The sequence below is a fragment of the Homo sapiens genome, chromosome 12, assembly GCF_000001405.40.
Source record: "Homo sapiens chromosome 12, GRCh38.p14 Primary Assembly".
NCBI lineage: Eukaryota > Metazoa > Chordata > Mammalia > Primates > Hominidae > Homo > Homo sapiens.
The window spans coordinates 23,054,947-23,075,656 of record NC_000012.12 but is presented as its reverse complement, the minus strand read 5'-3'; the positions used below and the strand labels follow the sequence as shown (position 1 = coordinate 23,075,656).

Here is a 20,710-nt window from a genome sequence, read left to right as displayed (position 1 = left end):
TGGATGGAGAATGACTTTGACGAGCTGAGAGAAGAAGCCTTCAGACGATCAAATTACTCTGCGCTACGGGAGGACATTCAAACCAAAGGCAAAGAAGTTGAAAACTTTGAAAAAAATTTAGAAGAATGTATAACTAGAATAACCAATACAGAGAAGTGCTTAAAGGAGCTGATGGGGCTGAAAACCAAGGCTCGAGAACTACGTGAGGAATGCAGAAGCCTCAGGAGCCGATGCGATCAACTGGAAGAAAGGGTATCAGCAATGGAAGATGAAATGAATGAAATGAAGCGAGAAGGGAAGTTTAGAGAAAAAAGAATAAAAAGAAATGAGCAAAGCCTCCAAGAAATATGGGACTATGTGAAAAGACCAAATCTATGTCTGATTGGTGTACCTGAAAGTGACGGGGAGAATGGAACCAAGTTGGAAAACACTCTGCAGGATATTATCCAGGAGAATTTCCCCAATCTAGCAAGGCAGGCCAACGTTCAGATTCAGGAAATACAGAGAACGCCACAAAGATACTCCTCGAGAAGAGCAACTCCAAGACACATAATTGTCAGATTCACCAAAGTTGAAATGAAGGAAAAAATGTTAAGGGCAGCCAGAGAGAAAGGTCGGGTTACCCACAAAGGGAAGCCCATCAGACTAACAGCGGATCTCTCGGCAGAAACGCTACAAGCCAGAAGAGAGTGGGGGCCAATATTCAACATTCTTAAAGAAAAGAATTTTCAACCCAGAATCTCATATCCAGCCAAACTAAGCTTCATAAGCGAAGGAGAAATAAAATACTTTACAGACAAGCAAATGCTGAGAGATTTTGTCACCACCAGGCCTGCCCTAAAAGAGCTCCTGAAGGAAGCACTAAACATGGAAAGGAACAACCAGTACCAGCCGCTGCAAAATCATGCCAAAATGTAAAGACCATTGAGACTAGGAAGAAACTACATCAACTAACCAGCAAAAGAACCAGCTAACATCATAATGACAGGCTCAAATTCACACATAACAATATTAACTTTAAATGTCAATGGACTAAATGCTCCAATTAAAAGACACAGACTGGCAAATTGGATAAAGAGTCAAGACCCATCAGTGTGCTGTATTCAGGAAACCCATCTCATGTGCAGAGACACACATAGGCTAAAAATAAAAGGATGGAGGAAGATCTACCAAGCAAATGGAAAACAAAAAAAGGCAGGGGTTGCAATCCTAGTCTCTGATAAAACAGACTTTAAACCAACAAAGATCAAAAGAGACAAAGAAGGCCATTACATAATGGTAAAGGGATTAATTCAACAAGAAGAGCTAACTATCCTAAATATATATGCACCCAATACAGGAGCACCCAGATTCATAAAGCAAGTCCTGAGTGACCTACAAAGAGACTTAGACTCCCACACATTAATAATGGGAGACTTTAACACCCCACTGTCAACATTAGACAGATCAACGAGACAGAAAGTCAACAAGGACACCCAGGAATTGAACCCAGCTCTGCACCAAGCGGACCTAATAGACATCTACAGAACTCTCCACCCCAAATCAACAGAATATACATTTTTTTCAGCACTGCACCACACCAATTCCAAAATTGACCACATACTTGGAAGTAAAGCTCTCCTCAGAAAATGTAAAAGAACAGAGATTATAACAAACTATCTCTCAGACCACAGTGCAATCAAACTAGAACTCAGGATTAAGAATCTCACTCAAAACCGCTCAACTACATGGAAGCTGAACAACCTGCTCCTGAATGACGACTGGGTACATAACGAAATGAAGGCAGAAATAAAGATGTTCTTTGAAACCAACGAGAACAAAGACACAACATACCAGAATCTCTGGGACGCATTCAAAGCAGTGTGTAGAGGGAAATTTATAGCACTAAATGCCCACAAGAGAAAGCAGGAAAGATCCAAAATTGACACCCTAACATCACAATTGAAAGAACTAGAAAAGCAAGAGCAAACACATTCAAAAGCTAGCAGAAGGCAAGAAATAACTAAAATCAGAGCAGAACTGAAGGAAATAGAGACACAAAAAACCCTTCAAAAAATTAATGAATCCAGGAGCTGGTTTTTTGAAAGGATCAACAAAATTGATAGACTGCTAGCAAGACTAATAAAGAAAAAAAGAGAGAAGAATCAAATAGACGAAATAAAAAATGATAAAGGGGATATCACCACCGATCCCACAGAAATACAAACTACCATCGGAGAATACTACAAACATCTCTACGCAAATAAACTAGAAAATCTAGAAGAAATGGATAAATTCCTCGACACATACACTCTCCCAAGACTAAACCAGGAAGAAGATGAATCTCTGAATAGACCAATAACAGGATCTGAAATTGTGGCAATAATCAATAGCTTACCAACGAAAAAGAGTCCAGGACCAGATGGATTCACAGCCGTATTCTACCAGAGGTATAAGGAGGAGCTGGTACCATTCCTTCTGAAACTATTCCAATCAATAGAAAAAGAGGGAATCCTCCCTAACTCATTTTATGAGGCCAGCGTCATTCTGATACCAAAGCCAGGCAGAGACACAACCAAAAAAGAGAATTTTAGACCAATATCCTTGATGAACATCGATACAAAAATCCTCAATAAAATACTGGCAAAACGAATCCAGCAGCACATCAAAAAGCTTATCCACCATGATCAAGTGGCCTTCATCCCTGGGATGCAAGGCTGGTTCAATATATGCAAATCAATAAATGTAATCCAGCATATAAACAGAGCCAAAGACAAAAACCACATGATTATCTCAATAGATGCAGTAAAAGCCTTTGACAAAATTCAACAACGCTTCATGCTAAAAACTCTCAATAAATTAGGTATTGATGGGATGTATTTCAAAATAATAAGAGCTATCTATGACAAATCCACAGCCAATATCATATTGAATGGGCAAAAACTGGAAGCATTCCCTTTGAAAACTGGCACAAGACAGGGATGCCCTCTCTCACCACTCCTATTCAACATAGTGTTGGAAGTTCTGGCCAGGGCAATTAGGCAGGAGAAGGAAATAAAGGGTATTCAATTAGGAAAAGAGGAAGTCAAATTGTCCCTCTTTGCAGACGACATGATTGTATATCTAGAAAACCCCATTGTCTCAGCCCAAAATCTCCTTAAGCTGATAAGCAACTTCAGCAGAGTCTCAGGATACAAAATCAATGTACAAAAATCACAAGTATTCTTATACACCAACAACAGACAAACAGAGAGCCAAATCATGAGTGAACTCCCATTCACAATTGCTTCAAAGAGAATAAAATACCTAGGAATCCAACTTACAAGGGAAGTGAAGGACCTCTTCAAGGAGATCTACAAACCACTGCTCAAGGAAATAAAAGAGGATACAAACAAATGGAAGAACATTCCATGCTCATGGGTAGGAAGAATCAATATCGTGAAAATAGCCATACTGCCCAAGGTAATTTATAGATTCAATGCCATCCCCATCAAGCTACCAATGACTTTCTTCACAGAATTGGAAAAAACTACTTTAAAGTTCATATGGAACCAAAAAAGAGCCCGCATCGCCAAGTCAATCCTAAGCCAAAAGAACAAAGCTGGGGGCATCACACCCTGACTTCAAACTATACTACAAGGCTACAGTCACCAAAACAGCATGGTACTGGTACCAAAACAGAGATATAGATCAATGGAACAGAACAGAGCCCTCAGAAATAACGCCGCATATCTACAACTATCTCATCTTTGACAAACCTGAGAAAAACAAGCAATGGGGAAAGGATTCCCTATTTAATAAATGGTGCTGGGAAAACTGGCTAGCCATATGTAGAAAGCTGAAACTGGATCCCTTCCTTACACCTTAGACAAAAATCAATTCAAGATGGATTAAAGACTTAAATATTAGACCTAAAACCATAAAAACCCTAGAAGAAAACCTAGGCATTACCATTGAGGACATAGGAATGGGCAAGGACTTCATGTCTAAAACACCAAAAGCAATGGCAACAAAAGCCAGAATTGACAAATGGGATCTAATTAAACTAAAGAGCTTCTGCACAGCAAAAGAAACTACCATCAGAGTGAACAGGCAACCTACAGAATGGGAGAAAATTTTCGCAACCTACTCATCTGACAAAGGGCTAATATCCAGAATCTAAAATGAACTCAAACATATTTACAAGAAAAAAACAAACAACCCCATCAAAAAGTGGGCGAAGGACATGAACAGACACTTCTCAAAAGAAGACATTTATGCAGCCAAAAAACACATGAAAAAATGCTCATCATCACAGGCCATCAGAGAAATGCAAATCAATACCACAATGAGATACCATCTCACACCAGTTAGAATGGTGATCATTCAAAAGTCAGGAAACAACAGGTGCTGGAGAGGATGTGGAGAAATAGGAACACTTTTACACTGTTGGTGGGACTGTAAACTAGTTCAACCATTGTGGAAGTCAGTGTGGCGATTCCTCAGGGATCTGGAACTGGAAATACCATTTGACCCAGCCATCCCATTACTGGGTATATACCCAAAGGACTATAAATCATGCTGCTATAAAGACACATGCACACGTATGTTTACTGCGGCATTATTCACAATAGCAAAGACTTGGAACCAACCCAAATGTCCAACAATGATAGACTGGATTAAGAAAATGTGGCACATATACACCATGGAATACTATGCAGCCATAAAAAATGATGAGTTCATGTCCTTTGTAGGGACATGGATGAAATTGGAAATCATCATTCTCAGTAAACCATCGCAAGAACAAAAAACCAAACACCGCATATTCTCACTCATAGGTGGGAATTGAACAATGAGATCACATGGACACAGGAAGGGGAACATCACGCTCTGGGGACTGTTGTGGGGTGGTGGGAGGGGGGAGGTATAGCACTGGGAGATATACCTAATGCTAGATGACGAGTTAGTGGGTGCAGCGCACCAGCATGGCACATGTATACATATGTAACTAACCTGCACAATGTGCACATGTACCCTAAAACTTAAAGTATAATAAAAAAAATAAGCATTTAAAATTATAAATGTTTCTTTACATACTGCTTTAGTTCCATACCACAAATTTTGATATGTTGTGTTTTCATGATTGCTCAGTTTTAGTATTTCTCATTTTCCCTGTAATTTCTTCTTTGACCTATAAGTTATTTACAAGTAGATTGTTTAATTTACAAGTTTTGGGACTTCTCTTATACCAAGCTATTGTTGACATTTAATTTAATTCCACTGTTGCTCAAAGATTTTAGTTTGTTGAAATGTACTGAGATTTATTTTATGTTGTTGAGTATTGTATTAAATAAATGTCAAGCAGGTTAAGGTAGTTGATAGTGTTGTTCAGATATTCTTTACTATTTTCTTGTCTACTTTTACTATCAATTATTGAGAGTAGGATATTGAAATTTTCAACTATGATTGTGAATTTGTCTGTTTTCCCTTTTGTTCTATAAATTCATGCTTCACATAGTTTGACACGCTATTAGGAACATATGCATCTACAATTGCTCTGTCTTCCTGATGAATTGAAATTGATCTTTTAGTCATTAGGAAATTTCTGTCATGTCAATGAGGCGCTATTTTTTTTTCAGTCTTTTTTCTCTCTGTTCTTCAGATTAGATAATTTCTAACAATATACCTTCAAATTCACTGTCCCTTACTGCCATTTTAAATGTGCTGTTAAGCCTACCTAGGGATTTTTTTTTTACTTTCTTTTTTTACTTCTTTTATTGTATATATTTTAGTTGTACAACATGTTTTGATATATATGGTGAAATGGTTGTAAGAGTCAAGCAAATGAACATATCCATCATCTCCTATAGTTACCCTTAGTTACCCCTTTTTGGTGGCAAGAGCACCTAAAATCTACTCTCTTAGCAAAAATCACAAATACAATAAAATTTCATTAACTGTAGTCCTCATGATGTACATCAGATCTCTAGACTTGTTCATGCTACATATCTGCTACTTTGTATTCTTTGACCTACATCTCCCCATTTTCTCTGTCTCACTCTCTCACCCCCGGTAACAACAATTTTATTTCCTATTTCCACTTATTGTACTTTTTTAAAAAGATTCCACATATACGTAAAATCATACAGTTTGTTTTTCTGTGTATGGTGCATGTTGGTGTGCGTGTGAGTGTATCACAATTTCTTTATCCATTCATCCATTGATGGACACTTTGGTTGTTTCCATATCTTGGCTATAGGAAATAATGCTGCAAATTAACTTGAGAGTGCAGATATCTTTATAAGGTAGTGATTTCAGTTTCTTTATCTACTCAGAAGAGGGACTGCTCAGCCCAGTAATTTTTTTCTTTTAAATTTCAATTATCATGTTTTCAGTTCTAGAATTTTCTTTTGATTAACTTTTCATAGTTCCTAATTCTCTGCTGAGATTTCCTTTCTGTTCATTAATTATAATCACACTTTACATTTAGTCCTTAAACACATTGATAATAGCTATTTTAAAGGCCTTGTCTACTAATTCAAATATCTAGATCATCATAGGATTTGTTTATAATGACTGATATTTCTTTTGACTGTGGGCCACTATTTCGTGTTTCTTTGCATGTCTAGTAATTGTTTTATCATTGTGAATGATATGTAGTGGAGAGTCTGGATTATGTGATCTTTCTTTAAGGGATGTTGAATTTCTTCTGAAAGGCAATTAAATTATTGGCAGAAACTTTTGGTCTATTAGGTTTGATTTTATTTTTTGTTATGGCAGATTTATTCCAATTTTAAGCTTAGTCCTGGCACATGCTCCTTACTCTAGGGTATGGAGTCTCAACTGAACATCTAAGTCTTTTAGCAAAGTCTTTTTATGTTGGCTGGGCTGAAACCCCCAAATCTCCCATCAATGTATCAGGAAATCTCTGCTGGGACTCTTGGCAACTTGTCTTGTGCACATGCATCTCAATCATTTGCCAACAACATGCAGTAAACTCCTCCATAGACTTTTAGGCACCTTCATCTGTGAAGCTTTTGCCTTTCAGGTACCTTGCTCAGCAAATTTCAGGAACTGAGATAGCCTAAAATTCCAATCTCCTTCTCTGCAAAGTGAGACTGCTACTCTACTTAAGTTCCATAAGCCTGCTCTGTGGCAGGACAGTGCCTGTAGGAAAAGCTGCGGGTGATCATAACCATTTCTAGACCTCATCTCATATTTTTTTTTATTTTTTCTCAAAAATTACAATCTTGGGCCAGGTGCGGTGACTCATGCTTGTAATCCCAGCACTTTGGGAGGCCGAGGCGGGTGGATCACAAAGTCAGGAGGTCAAGACCAGCCTGGCAAATATAGTGAAACCCCATCTCTACTAAAAAATACAAAAATTAGCTGGGCGTGGTGGCGGGCGCCTGTAGTCCCAGCTACTCGGGAGGCTGAGGCAGGAGAATCACTGGAACCTGGGAAGCAGAGGTTGCAGTGAGCCAAGATCACACCACTGCACTCCAGCCTGGACGACAGAGCAAGACTCTGTCTAAAAAAAAAAAAAAAAAAAAAAAAAGAAAAGAAATTACAATCTTGAACTACCTGTTGTTCAATTCCTAAAAATATTTGCCATATTTATTTTGCCTAGTGTTGTTCTTTTTGGTATGAGAGCAAGTCCAGTTTCATTCTCTCAAGATTGCAAGGGGAAGATGCCAAAGTATAACCCTTTAAAATACATACAATTCACTATTTGTTACACATTATTCTATTAGCTGCACGTTTCTCTTAACCGCTGCTTCAGCAAATATACAGTAAACTGAAAACTGAAATTACAGATGGTATACTGAGACATTTTCTTGTTAACAAAGTGTGCTTCAGTCTATACAAACGCAAAATGTACAAGTTGGAGGAAAAAAAAAAAAAAAAAAAGCTATGTGTGTTTCCTGGACCTAAAGATTCACGGCAGGAAGGAAAGATTGGAAGAGTTGGCCCAGACAACAATTCTACTATCTTAAGTGGTAAAACCAAAACTAAATTCTAGGACATACTTCAGAATATGTCTGTATAGATAGGAGAACATTGTCCTGGCACATGTGACCTTAAAGTTAATTATGGGAATAACAACCAACCCTCCAAACAAGGAGCGTGTGCTACCTTTGAGGCAGTTTAATTGAGGACCAGGCTTTTGAGAAGAGTCAGACAAATTTATATGTTTTCTCCAGCCGAAATTTCAGATTGCTTTCTCCATGAAAAGAGAAAGAACAAAGTATCCTCTAACAAAAGATTTTCCCAGAGGCATCACAAAACCTAGATATTCATGATAATCCAACTATGATTCTTGATAATCTAAGTATACGTTAGAGGCCCAAATGTATGCAAAAGATAAAACAAAAGGAAATAGAATATTAATAATTTTGCAAAAGTTAGAGAAAAATATCCTAAGAAAAGGGTAAATGTTGATTATAAAGAGCAATTGCTGAGTTTCAAGTAGTAATATAGGGGTAACTATTTAAGCATCATAAGAAAATGTGAAGGAGGAGGAGAAGGAAGAAGAGAAAGGAGGAGGAGGAGGAGGAAGGGTTCTCTATCCCTAGTTTGTATATAATGGCTACTGTTCTAAGCTTTTCACCTGGATTCATTAATTTAGTCCTCCCTGCAACTCTACAAACAGGCGTTGTTAAAGAGGCTAGCTGACCGCCAAAGGATCCTATTTCCCCTCCTTAGTGTAGAGTTACTGCTGGAGGCAGCTGCCCAGCTAGGACGACATTTCCCTGCTCCCTTATATCTAGGAATGGGATGTGCATTGTGCTTGTGCATGAGGTGTGATGTGTGTCGTTTACAGGCTGTAGCTGTGTGTATCAGTTCTTCTTTTCCCACAGCGTCATTCCCCTTCCTCAGTAAATTTGGAGGCCACATGTGAAGATGATGTAACCAGAATATGGAAGCAACATGGCTCCTAAACCACTAATTACAGAGGATATACTCAGATAGGAATACTTATGTTGAACAAGTGCCAGATTTTATTTTGTCAGGCCATTGAGAATGTGGGATTTATCAGTTATATCCACTAGCATTACCTTAATAAATAGAACAATAAGGTGACAAATCAAATATTTTATCTCCATTTTATAAAGAAACTGAGGCACAGGGAGAAAATACCATCAGTAGTAGAATAAGGAAATTTTCTATTTCATTTAATTCTGCAATTAATATAATTTTCCAAAGCACAGTCAAGAGAAATAGTGAACTCTAACCAGTGATCTGACTTTTCATTGAATATAGAAGTTAATAAAGTCTATTGTCCTCTATATAAATTGTTAAAAAACATGTTGGTTCATTGGAACAATTACAACAAAAATGATTGCGTAATACAATGATTAGCTCAGTAATGATGTCTATAATTTTAGAATTAACATTACAAGTTTCTTTGTGTGTGAAATCAGATGTGTGGGTTGGAATGACTCAGGTTGGGGTAGAAAGGCTGAGCTAGTGGCAAAAGAGGAGCCTAACTCACAAGCTTGGGCTGAATGAGCCCAAACAGAGTTCAGGCACTGGCTTTGAAATCATTCTTACAATTTTGTCCAAGGGCCAAAAACAGTGATTAGAACCTGTATATAAATATGCCTCTATTCTAGGCTTTTTGGTACTGTTTCTCTTTCTATATTAAATATTAAACACAAAAGAAACTTAGAATATGTTAGCAAAGAGTAAAGACGTCGAGGACAATGTGTTCTAGTTTACAATGAAATGCAGATTTCCCATTAAAAAAAACAAATATTTCATTTCCAATTAAACAGGTTAATACTTAAGAGAAAGAATCCCACTAAAAAAAGCATCTAGTCCAAACTATTCTCGAGTACTCTGTCCATTGCACTTTGTTGATTATTTATTAAATACATTTTTATGCACTTTAATTCTTTGCTACCCTGTCCCATATTGTTCTCCTACAGTAGGTTTTTACACATCTAAACGTGATTTTGCCTTCCACAGTATGTGTTTTACTTATGCTTATTCTTATTTTAAAATAAATCAATGTTTGTAGATGTGATTTTATTAAATAATTGTGCCACTAAAATTTACTGGGAATTTGGTCATTTAGTTCCCTGTCCTTATCCCATGGGTTTTTTGTTGTTGTTGTTTTTTTTTCAAAGTGTCTCTTATCTTTTAAGCTGATGGCTGGACAGAAATCTCTGTGAAGACTCAAGTTTTCACTAGTCATTGTTATTGATTTTTGTGGTTGTTTTGTTTTGATTTTGTTTTTGTTTTTTGAGATAGGATCATGTTCTGTTGCCCAGGCTGGAATGCAGTGTGGTGCTGCAACCATAGTTTACTGCAGCCTCAGACTCCTGGGCTCAAGCAATTCTTCCACTTCAGCCTTCCAAGTAGCTGGGATTACAGGCACCCTCCACTGCAGCAATCTGCCTTTGCTACTATTTCAGTACTAACATGGTTATAAGTTCCCATTTCCCACCAATGTTGCTCTAAGCTTTAATTTTTTGGACATATACAAATAATCATATAATTTGGGAAAAAGACAAAAAGCTATTTAAAGGACATACAACAGAAGAATAGCATAGGTACCTAATATCCAAGTAATTCCCAAATGTCATTTCTGAGAGTTTCTTAAGGCAAAAGATCACTGAGGCCTTGAGACCTGGGGGAACTATGTAATCCAAATTGGCAGAAAGAAAAGTATCTCAGAAGAGAAGACGATTATATTTTATGATTTCATTCAACAAATAAGATATTGCTCTTAGGTGTCAAGACCTGTCGTAAGATCTGGGGAAACAGATTGTGCCCTGCAAAATATGCTCAGTCGGTGGGACATCAGTGGGCACATTTTCTAATCTTGCCAGAGCTCTTGGTGTTAGAAGAAGCCTTGATTAAGACAGATATGGTCCTGCCTTCAAGTAGGTTGGAGGAAAGGAGATAGATATTACATCAATAAATAAATAAAACAATATAAAGGCACAAATTGTGGCAAGTGCTGTGAAGGAAATATACAGGGTGCTAAGAAAGAATTACAGGGGCCAAGTGAAGGTTTCCTAATGTTCCTCATCGCTTCTCTGGTGAAGTGATATTCAGGCTGAAACCCAGTGGAGGAAAGGGAATGTGGCAACATGGAAACGGGAGGTGTAGTGGACAGCCCAAGCAGAGGAAACACCCTGCATCAAGTTTCTCAAGCTGGAAAGAACCCCATGACAAAGAACGTGAAAGAAGACCAGAGTGACCTCAGTGTCTATCGGGTTAGTCCAAAACTGGCAATAAAAGTACAACATTTTTGGCAGAGCCCTAATGTCAAGTATATTACTCTTCCATTTTAACATCAACTCTTCCAACTTCTCATTTTCTGTTAATCCTTGGCTAGGTCACATTTTTCTTAGAAGCACTTGGAGGCAATGTGTTTTGTGAGTGGGGGCACCGGTTCACAAATTCTGTCTTATTGCAGATTGGAAAGCCCTCTAAAAACAACGCAAACTCAAGCATAGCAGGAGCCCCTGCTTAAGAGCGTAACCTTGAGTACCCTGCAGCTCACAAAGTCTGAGGTCCAACAGAGGCCTAATATGCAAGAAACCTCAGAGGCATATGAGAAAGATTTTCCTTTCTAACGGCAGAAAGAGTTGAAGAGGTCAAGTTTGGTCCATTGAGATCATAAGGAAAGGGTAATATTGAAGTCTACCAAGGCAGGTCCTACTAACATCGTCCCATAGTTTCACTTTCCTCACTGGAGACTGTGCCTGTGGAGAGGCCTGCGGTAGGGAGATGGCTAAAATAAAATAAAAAAGCCGTAACAAAAACTCCACTTAAGATATAAGAAGAGTCACGGGAAACTCAAAAGTCCACATTTCCTTCTTTAATGTTACCATCGAAGTCATGGGAGCAGAAAAATATGGGCGTATATTACCATGGCCACTTGGATTGGAGGCAGCTATAGGCAAATGATAAGGACAATAAATGAATAAGCACCTATAATGTGCTAGGCACTGTTCCAGGCTCTAGGTGTAAAATTGATACAGTCCCTGCCCTTACAAGATAGGAGAGAGCCACTAATCAATAATTATGTCAATACATAAATACAAATTGTGACAAATCCTATAAAAGAACTATGTAAAGTATCAGGTAATCCTGTTAGTTGTGTGGCTTTGGGCATGTTGCTTAGTCTCTATGGGCTGCAGTTGTTTAATTCTCTTTGTCTTTCTGTTATGGTAATTAAATAAGATAATGCATATAGACCACCTACCATGCACTTGGTGTGTAATAGACTCAGTTAATGGAATCTATTAATAATATTTGGGAAGAATATGAGGAGTCAGCAATTATTCAAGTTGTGGCTGATTTAGAGGATTGTTCTTTTGAACCTTGTTACTGTGATCCTTTCGTGACCCAACCTCATTTTTGTCTGGGGAAACGTAGATTGCCCTGATATTAAGGGTGCAGTAGCTCTCAAATTTTTCTTTATATAACCCCGTGGTTCCCCCACCATGGAGCACTAGAAATGGATACAAATCCAGATTTTGGACAACTGTGGGTATTCTACAACTTCTCAAGGTAACAAACTAAAATTTGATAACTTAGGTTGCGTTTCAAGTCTACATCGAATGGTCTGTTAGCAAATTGCATACTCACTTCCTGAAAGTATTTGGAATTACAAAACTAATCTTACTGGAACAAGGTATTGAAAACACATTTAAACTGAATATTGAGATGCTTTTAAACGGATATACTGTGGGGTTTTACCACATGCATTATTTGGGAAATGGAAAATTGTCAACACTTTTTTAGTCTGTCTTGTGGGAATTCACCCAGCCTCATACTGTGCCTATCACTTCTCATTAAACAAGTGAAAGAAACCCTATACCTTTATAAATTGTGCATTATTCTTCAAACAGATGTGGTAGCCTTGAACTAGCTTTAAGCTATCTTCAAAATATAAATCACAAAAAGTAGAATGTGAGTGCAATATATTATTCACAACACATTGAATGTGAGAACACCTCCAACTTCTCTAACCCAAATCAAAGACTAATAACATAAATATTTCCACAAAACAGCTGCATTGTAAGAAACAGGCTAGTGAACTAGCTAGTTTAGAAGAAGAGAATGGCCTTAGCCATGAGTCCTACCACAAAATGCCTACTTCAGTTTCTGGCACATAGAATATGCTCTGTTCTTCTTGCTCCATTATTCCTTGCACTCTAATGACAAATCCAAATGTCTATACAGGTTTTACTTATGTACCTGGCTTTGTTGAACTACCCATCCTTATATCCCTGCATTCTTCAGATAATTGAAACATTGACTTTGAAACTGATTTTGGGGGCGGTGGAGTAAGGAGCATTTTTTTAAATGTAAAAGTATATCCTGTTTTTAAAAAAAAAAAATGGTAGTTTGAATATTATTTGAATCTTTCTTCGTGAATCAGGCCATTTTTATGAATATCATATCCTGAACTGTGCAGTACCTTTGGGGATCATCAATTTTCTTATCTGTGCTCTACCCAAGAATTCTGGAAATCTATTATGCAAAATGCTATTTCCTTATGAACCACTGCATTTTTAAACATAAACATACCAGTTAGGTTTTTTTTTTTTATTCATAAGGCTATAGGTAATGCCTATTCATATGCAGACTATGACTAGATAAAATAATTTGAGCCAATGATGAAGTACCTGGGTGAGATGAAGTACCAACCATATCACCAAATGTTCTCTATAATATTAAGGGAAAAAAATGCCTATCCTATTTTTGGATATAAATCCAAGGAACAATGTCTTCCCTCTTCCCACTTCTATTTGGTGATCATTAATCTCATTCATTTACTATCTTCCAATGTTAGACCATTCAGAGATGCTCATTAGATAGGTAATTTATCCAGTGCACATGAAATCCTTGAAGGCCAGCTGCCATATCGGAGCCAACAAATAAATAAAACAGTTATCCAACTAGCACAAACTTTATCAACCCACAGAATTATTTTCCTAACTTCCCAGCCTCTTGAGCTACACAGGCAATTCTTTTTTCTTGTAATATAACAGAAGAAGAAACAGAGAAAGAGAGAAAATAACCAAAACCAAACAAGTTAAAAATTCTCCCCTACAACAAATTGGTCTCAAACACATAAGCAAGTAGTTTGCAAAACTGTCAATGGTTTTTTTTTTTTCTGTTATTTTGTTTTCTTTTGTATTTATATCTTTAATAAGCGTTGCTGCAAAAATTGTACAGGCTACTTTCTCTTTTAGAACTCTTTGGTTACCTAGGGCATCTGCATAAAACATAAGAGGGTATTTAGTTTTCACTCATGTTGAGTGGCAGCAGAACTTATTCTAACAGCTACACTTTGCAGAGCAGTTGCAGAAAATAATTACCAGGTCAAGCAGACCCTTTATCCTCAGAAACCAGCCATCCAAAGTCCCACTGAAAGATCTAAAACTTTTTAACTTTCATTCTGAATAGTCCCTTTGGATGCAAACCTTCTTAAAGTACACTATGAAGAGTCAGTTCTAAGAGGCCTTCCAGTTATGAAGTGAATGAGGCAAATTATGACTCCTAAGCTTATATTTCTCTGTTAGATATTATCTCATATCCTTACATAAAGTCTGATTTATACAAATTGGCTCACTTTCTGAGGATTTGCTTTTATTTTTAATGCAGCTTTTCAGTCAAACTTCACTTTCGGTGGAAACACATTTTTGATAGCCAGGGCTGAACATAAAATTCCATTATTTAAGTGGCAAAGAGTTGGTAAGTCAAGTCCACGAGGCCTGTGGTAGTAGCTTACTCTGTTTGTGGTTTCTACTTTGTTAGACTCTGTGGAGCCATGAATCTATCTTGTCCTTAAAAAACTGAAAGAGGGGGCTTTTAAAATGAATGTAATGCTTAATTTATGTGCCCCAGGAGCAGCATATGAGGGCTTCTGGACTGATTAGACCCAGATGTTGGTAACAATGTTAGTGTTATGGACCAACTGCAGGTGTGGGAATAGATCCCCTTCCCTGGGACCCTCAGCAATCAGACCAGTGGTTTCTTCTGGCTCTCAGTTTGGAGTTTTCAATTAACACTACAATGGTATTGTTGTTCTCCAATATTAGATCGTATGTCACGTAAATGAAGCTGAATATACAGTTAAACTTGACAAGGTGATTTAGGCCAAGAATACATGTGTTCAGTATTATAACTTGATTGAGGTTAAATAATAATAATAAAAAAGCCCTGACATGCTATAAAGTTTTTATTATTTGGCTTATCAGTAGATTTTCACATTATACTTTCATAAAACAGAATGTCATTTATAGCAGGGCGAGACGCTTATGAAAAGGGAGACACAAACCTGCTTATAAGTGACTGAAATGATTAATGCCAGATTGGAGGCTTTTATAGAGTCAGTATGGCAATTGGAAGTTCTCTGTGTGCTTTTTTATTTGCTTACTTCTATTTTCCAAAATTCTGTCTTAGTTCTTTATCCTCTCCCTTAACGTGAGTGATCAGTACCTACATAATCACCCCCATTGGTGAGAGCAGCAGTGTTTGGGATGGTTCTGAAATATTATTTGGCTAAAGCAATGAATCCAGCTCATCAATGACCAGGACCATATTCCACTGTCCTATGGGTGTCATGATGCTTTGGAGAGTAACCCAGCTCACTAAAATGTATTATGATAGCTGTCATAACTTTGAATTAGACTCTAAGCTTCTCAGGGCAGGAACCTTATCTGTTCAACGTGTTTATAAGTGCCACAGAACTGATTGATTGTCCCATTAATAAATACCAATAAAAACAACTTCAGAGGTCCATTTTGTACTTCATTCGTAGAACATTTATAATGCTCATTAATGTTGATGGACCATGCACAGCACAGAGCTCTCCCATTTTACTTATGCCTTCGTTTGTTGCTGCAATCTCTTAGAGACCAGACCACGTTGTAAGTCAGCTCAGTAAAATGTACGTTGTTGTGCCAGCACCTAGGGAAAGCTTTACGTCCTACAAATGCATGCATTACAAATTCAAAGAAAGACAAGGCTCATTTTTTTTTCCGAGAGCACTAATAAGCTAAAGCTGATGGACTAATTCTTTACGACCAAATGCCATGACAACTCGAAGCAACTTCTTTCAATGAATGATAAATAACTGTAAAAATGAAGTTAGTTCTGAGATTTAAACCTAACCTCTCTGTCAAGATCAGAAATGGTGAACAGTATTCCTCTCTTTTTTATCACAGCCTATATTTTGGTACACATAGTGTTTCCTCTTTAAATTTATGAATTTTTTCACTATAGCTAGGAACATTGATCCCTGGTATAATTACAAAGTCTGTGGCAAATTACTAGTGAGTCTCAGTTTACTTATCTGCAAAATGATCATAACGTAAGATGGAATGAATGAGCTAGTAATCTCTGAGGAAAAAGTCAAGCGTTCTTTGTGCATGAAATCTTTCAAGACACTAAGAATACTCAGTCAGTCCAGCATTTAGTCAGCAAATATTGAGGGTCTATAATGTGCAAGGTGCAGTGTAGGACACTTAGATACAAAGATGAAGGATGCACAGTCCTTTCCTCAAGGAAAGACAGATCCTAAACCTAAGTGCCACAAAACAATTCAACAACAAAATTAAGAAATGAATCAAACACCTATGACTGTATGATTTTTAAGGCTGCCCTATTTGTTCTTAATACAAAAAAGACTATAAATTGAAGCATTTACATTGTGGAAAAATGTGATTCAAGTAATGTAGTGAAGGCCACTGTCAGCACTGATTAAAACAAATGAAAAGGTTTGACATGGCAAGTGAAGATGTTAGGTCACTGACATAAAAGAAATTCTTATTCTTTACTGTTCCAGGACATTCTAAGTATACTTGTCATTAATTTTTATCTAGATATTCCTCTCTAGCTTTTCCTAGAGTCCCACCAAATGTTTATAATCTATAGAGCACTACATAACTGTCCCCATGTGCAATGATAAAATGCAGCCCATTGATTTTTCTGCCAAGTAGGTAGAAGAGTTACGAATTCAGTTATTTCATATTATATGACCCCCACATTACAGTAATGTACTCCTTCCCCACCTCCAATGGTGTCCAAAAGCATGAAGAAAATGAGAAGTAATGATGTTAGTGACTTAAATTACCATTCCAAAAATAATTCATTGTGTCACCTAACTTTCCAGGGCAGTTTCCAGAAGCTACCACATTCACTATAGTGCAAAGCGGAAGCATAGCAAGTAAACATTTTTGCTACAAAGAAATCAAATGGTACACTGGTTTAAGATAGTCTCTATTATTTTCAAACCACTTTCAAACAAACAATAAACAATGACTGTCTATGAGAAACATCAATATGCAACTAAGGAACTACTTATATCATAGACATTTCATTGGAATCTTAGTATATTTAACAACACTTCAACAAACTATTCCAGTATTACTCATGACTCTATAAGGAAAGGTACTATTCATCCTGCATCACTGATGAGAAAACTGAGGACAAATTGGCAGTGCAACTTATATATCGCCACATCGATCTTAAATTGACTAAGAAAGCAATCAGAATTGTAAATGCCCCACATTCAACATTTAATTCACTGTTGCAAACACTTTGTGAGCCTCAGAGTAAGCCATCGTGCTATGTACTTATAGAGTAGGAGATAAACATGAAGAAAATCTTGTCTACTTTAGGGAACTCAACAAAAAAAATTACTCTAGACATCTAAATGTTAACAAGATTTGGGGAACTCTGATAACATGTGAGGCATCTTGGGCCGTCTGTTCTTCATGATAGGAATCTCTATGATATGCTGAGCCCAAGGTCTACCCACGTATTACCTGCAGTGTTCCAAGGTGAGCTGTCTTCAGTCAGTCACACAAATGGTTCTAATGAGCTGGTGCTGCCCACCCTGTGGTAAGAAAAGGACTCTTGTCTAAAGCCACAGTCATCAAGTACCTGTTTAAGAAAAGCAAGTCAGCATTTTGGATCTTTATTATCATGAACAGAACTTTTGGGCCCATGATAAAGTCCAAATTCAGTCTTTTACCTTATTTGAAATATAAAAAGACAACCTATTTCATGAGCTATATATATCAAAAGTGCAAGCAAACAATCACAATTTCTTTAAAGGGATTTACAGATATTATTTATTCTTCCCCAGAATAGATATGCAAAAAGGGGTGACAAAAACAAGACTTGCATTATAAAAAGGAAGTCATCACACTTTATTAGCTGCATCCGTTCCCATAAGAAGGAAAAAGTGACCACTTGTTGGTATCTAGAGTCTCAAGCACTGTAACGAGTTTTCTTCAAGATTCCCCAAGAGTAGGGAAATAATTTATTCTTAAAACTTTTAAACCATTGATCCATTCTTCTGCTTTCTAATGGATCTCATATTGCATCTCACTGGTGAAAAAATTCTCTATACTCAATCTTACCTTTCTTAGATGGTAGTAGGTGAGGAAAAGAAGAATGAACTGTCTGAGAAGTTGCGGCTGTTCTGTCCTGGTAAGTACAGGAAGAAGAGTGGATGGACAATCCTCCAACAAGTAGAGCACATCCATATAGCCCTGAATATGCAAAAAGGAGCATTAAATAACACAAAAATATGGGCTGATGGTAATTGAAAAATAAGTAGATATGAGCAAAAAAACATTGGGCTTCTGCCAAAGACGATCTACAAAGAGGTCACTCTACATCCATAGATTATAAGAAGGAACTTCCCAGCTCTTTCATATTTAGAATTAGAGAAGTCCAGTAAATACGGTTTGCACACACTTGGAAAGAATTCAACATTAAGGTTGTTGAAGTATTGTGCAGGTGTGCAGATCTTTGAGAATTTCTTGCATATACATGTATGTGTATGTAAAAATTATGAAAACAGATATTTCTGGGAGAATACAGAAGAAATACAAACACTGGGCTCCTGGGAAATAAGACTAAACAATTGAGTTGAGGGAGTAAAACATTCACTTAGAAAAAATACTCCTGTGCTATTTAATTTTTTTTTTTTTTTTGATACAGGGTTTCACTCTGTCACCCAGGCTGGAGTACAGTAGTGCAAACATGGCTGACTGCAGCCTTGACCTCTCTGACTCAGGTGATCCTCCCGCCTCAGCCTCCCAAGTAGCTGGGACTACAGGTGTGCACCACCACCCTTGTCTAATTTTTGTATTTTTTTGTAGAGACGGGTTTTTGCCATGTTGCCCAGGCTGGTTTCAAATTCCTGGGCTCAAGCAATCCTCCTGTCTTGGCCTCCCTAAGTTCTGAGAATACAAGTGTGAGCCACCGTGCCTGGCCTGTTTGATAATACTACATTTACATATCTAAAAAAATAAATAATTACCAAATTTGATTAAAACTAATTGTGCCTGAAGACAAAAAAAAATAGAGACAAATAACACAAGGAAGTCTACCTCTGAGCCTTGAAACTAGCTTTAATTAGGGTCTTGGACACATGGAAGGATTTTGCCCATATGATCAGAAGGGTATATCTCTTTAAAATAGGAGAATAATCAATACTGGTTTTTCCATCCCCAGCTTCCATCCTTCTGTATATGCAAGCAAATATATCCAAATAAGTATTTGGATTCTGTACTATAAGTATAATAGTACTTATTAATACAATATTGTTTTAAGATTAAATCAAAGAAACAATTTGCAGAAGTTTTCATCAGAAATTGTCTTTAAAATCTTTTGTTTTGTCTTCTCCTCTTCCTTTGGTTGATTTCTCTTCTTTGTCCCACCTATTTTGATGTTTGTTCCCATCCTTGCCATGCTTATTTTCTCAGTCCACACCTCCTTCCTGGGCAATCTAACTCATTTCATGTCTTCAGCTAGTCTCACATATGTCAATGACTCCTAAATCTATAACTCTTACCCCCAAATTCTCTCCTGAACACAGGATGCAACTTCTCTCAGTTAATTGACTACCTCAACTTTGATTTCCTGCATCATATTTAGTACACCTAAAACTGAACTCATATCTTTTCCTATTTCTAGCAGCGCCATTAGTAACATTGTCATTTCCCAGTCAGATTTAACATCATTATCTAATTCTTCCTCTCTCATTTACCCTTAACATCCAATTCTGTCAACACAATCTCTAAAATGTCTCACAAGAAAAACAAAATAAAGCCCCGTCTTTGTAACTGCTTTAGTCCTGTCTTGTCTATCTCTTGCAACAGATTTTTTTTAACTATCACCCTGATCTTTAATGCTCTTCTCTTAACTTTTTCTTCCTCAATGCCACTAGATATTGAAACTCTCTGTTAAACAATCTTCAAAGGCTCCTCACATCCTAGAGGATTGTCATAGATCCACCCTCTCTATGCTGGCTTATCTCCATAATTCTGTGTTTTAGCCAAACAGAACTTCTTGCTTTTTCCTTAGACTATGTCATTCACTTTCATGCCTTTGCATCTTTCATCTTCAGCTTCTTCAGCCAGAAATACGACGTGTTCCATAGGGTCACATGAGGTGATATCTTTTTCTAGGCTTCACCTTCCTTCTCCCACCTGGGGGCAGTGCTGTGTCGGAGGTGGGAGAAAGAGCCAAGAAAGTGAAGAAAGGACCTATTGTCAACTCATTGCCAGGAAGTGTTTTGTCAAACAATGCTTAAAACGTGTTAGACACCATGACAATTGTTAGTCAAAAAGTTGAATAAAAGTCACAGGTGTTTCTGAGGATTATCCAGCATAGAGGAGAAAAAGACATAAAGTTGGAAAATAAACTGTCATCTCTTTTGCATCAGTAGAGCTGAGAAATAATGACGCTGGTCTCTGGAGAC

The 20,710-nt window shown here is 37.3% G+C and overlaps 1 long non-coding RNA gene across 13 annotated transcripts in view, besides 1 other annotated feature; it reads right to left on the bottom strand.

Annotated features, from left to right (window-relative positions):
* The window catches only part of LINC02955 (long intergenic non-protein coding RNA 2955), a 491,729-nt gene that overhangs the window by 115,931 nt on the left and 355,088 nt on the right, over positions 1 to 20,710 (bottom strand). For 12 of the 13 annotated variants that reach the window (NR_187514.1, NR_187512.1, NR_187515.1 and 9 more), the window contains 2 exons: positions 18,360 to 18,491; positions 17,760 to 17,877 (listed from right to left, as the gene is read on the bottom strand). This is a non-coding gene — a long non-coding RNA (long intergenic non-protein coding RNA 2955). The remainder of the gene's footprint in view (positions 1 to 17,759; positions 17,878 to 18,359; positions 18,492 to 20,710) is intronic. The other variant, NR_187511.1, reaches the window with a different exon arrangement.
* Positions 13,847 to 17,109: an enhancer, noted in NCBI's record as "VISTA enhancer hs1603". NCBI's record gives its function as "enhancer in: limb[7/7] | branchial arch[5/7] | nose[7/7]" and the evidence as "EXISTENCE:transgenic organism evidence [ECO:0001131][PMID:17130149]".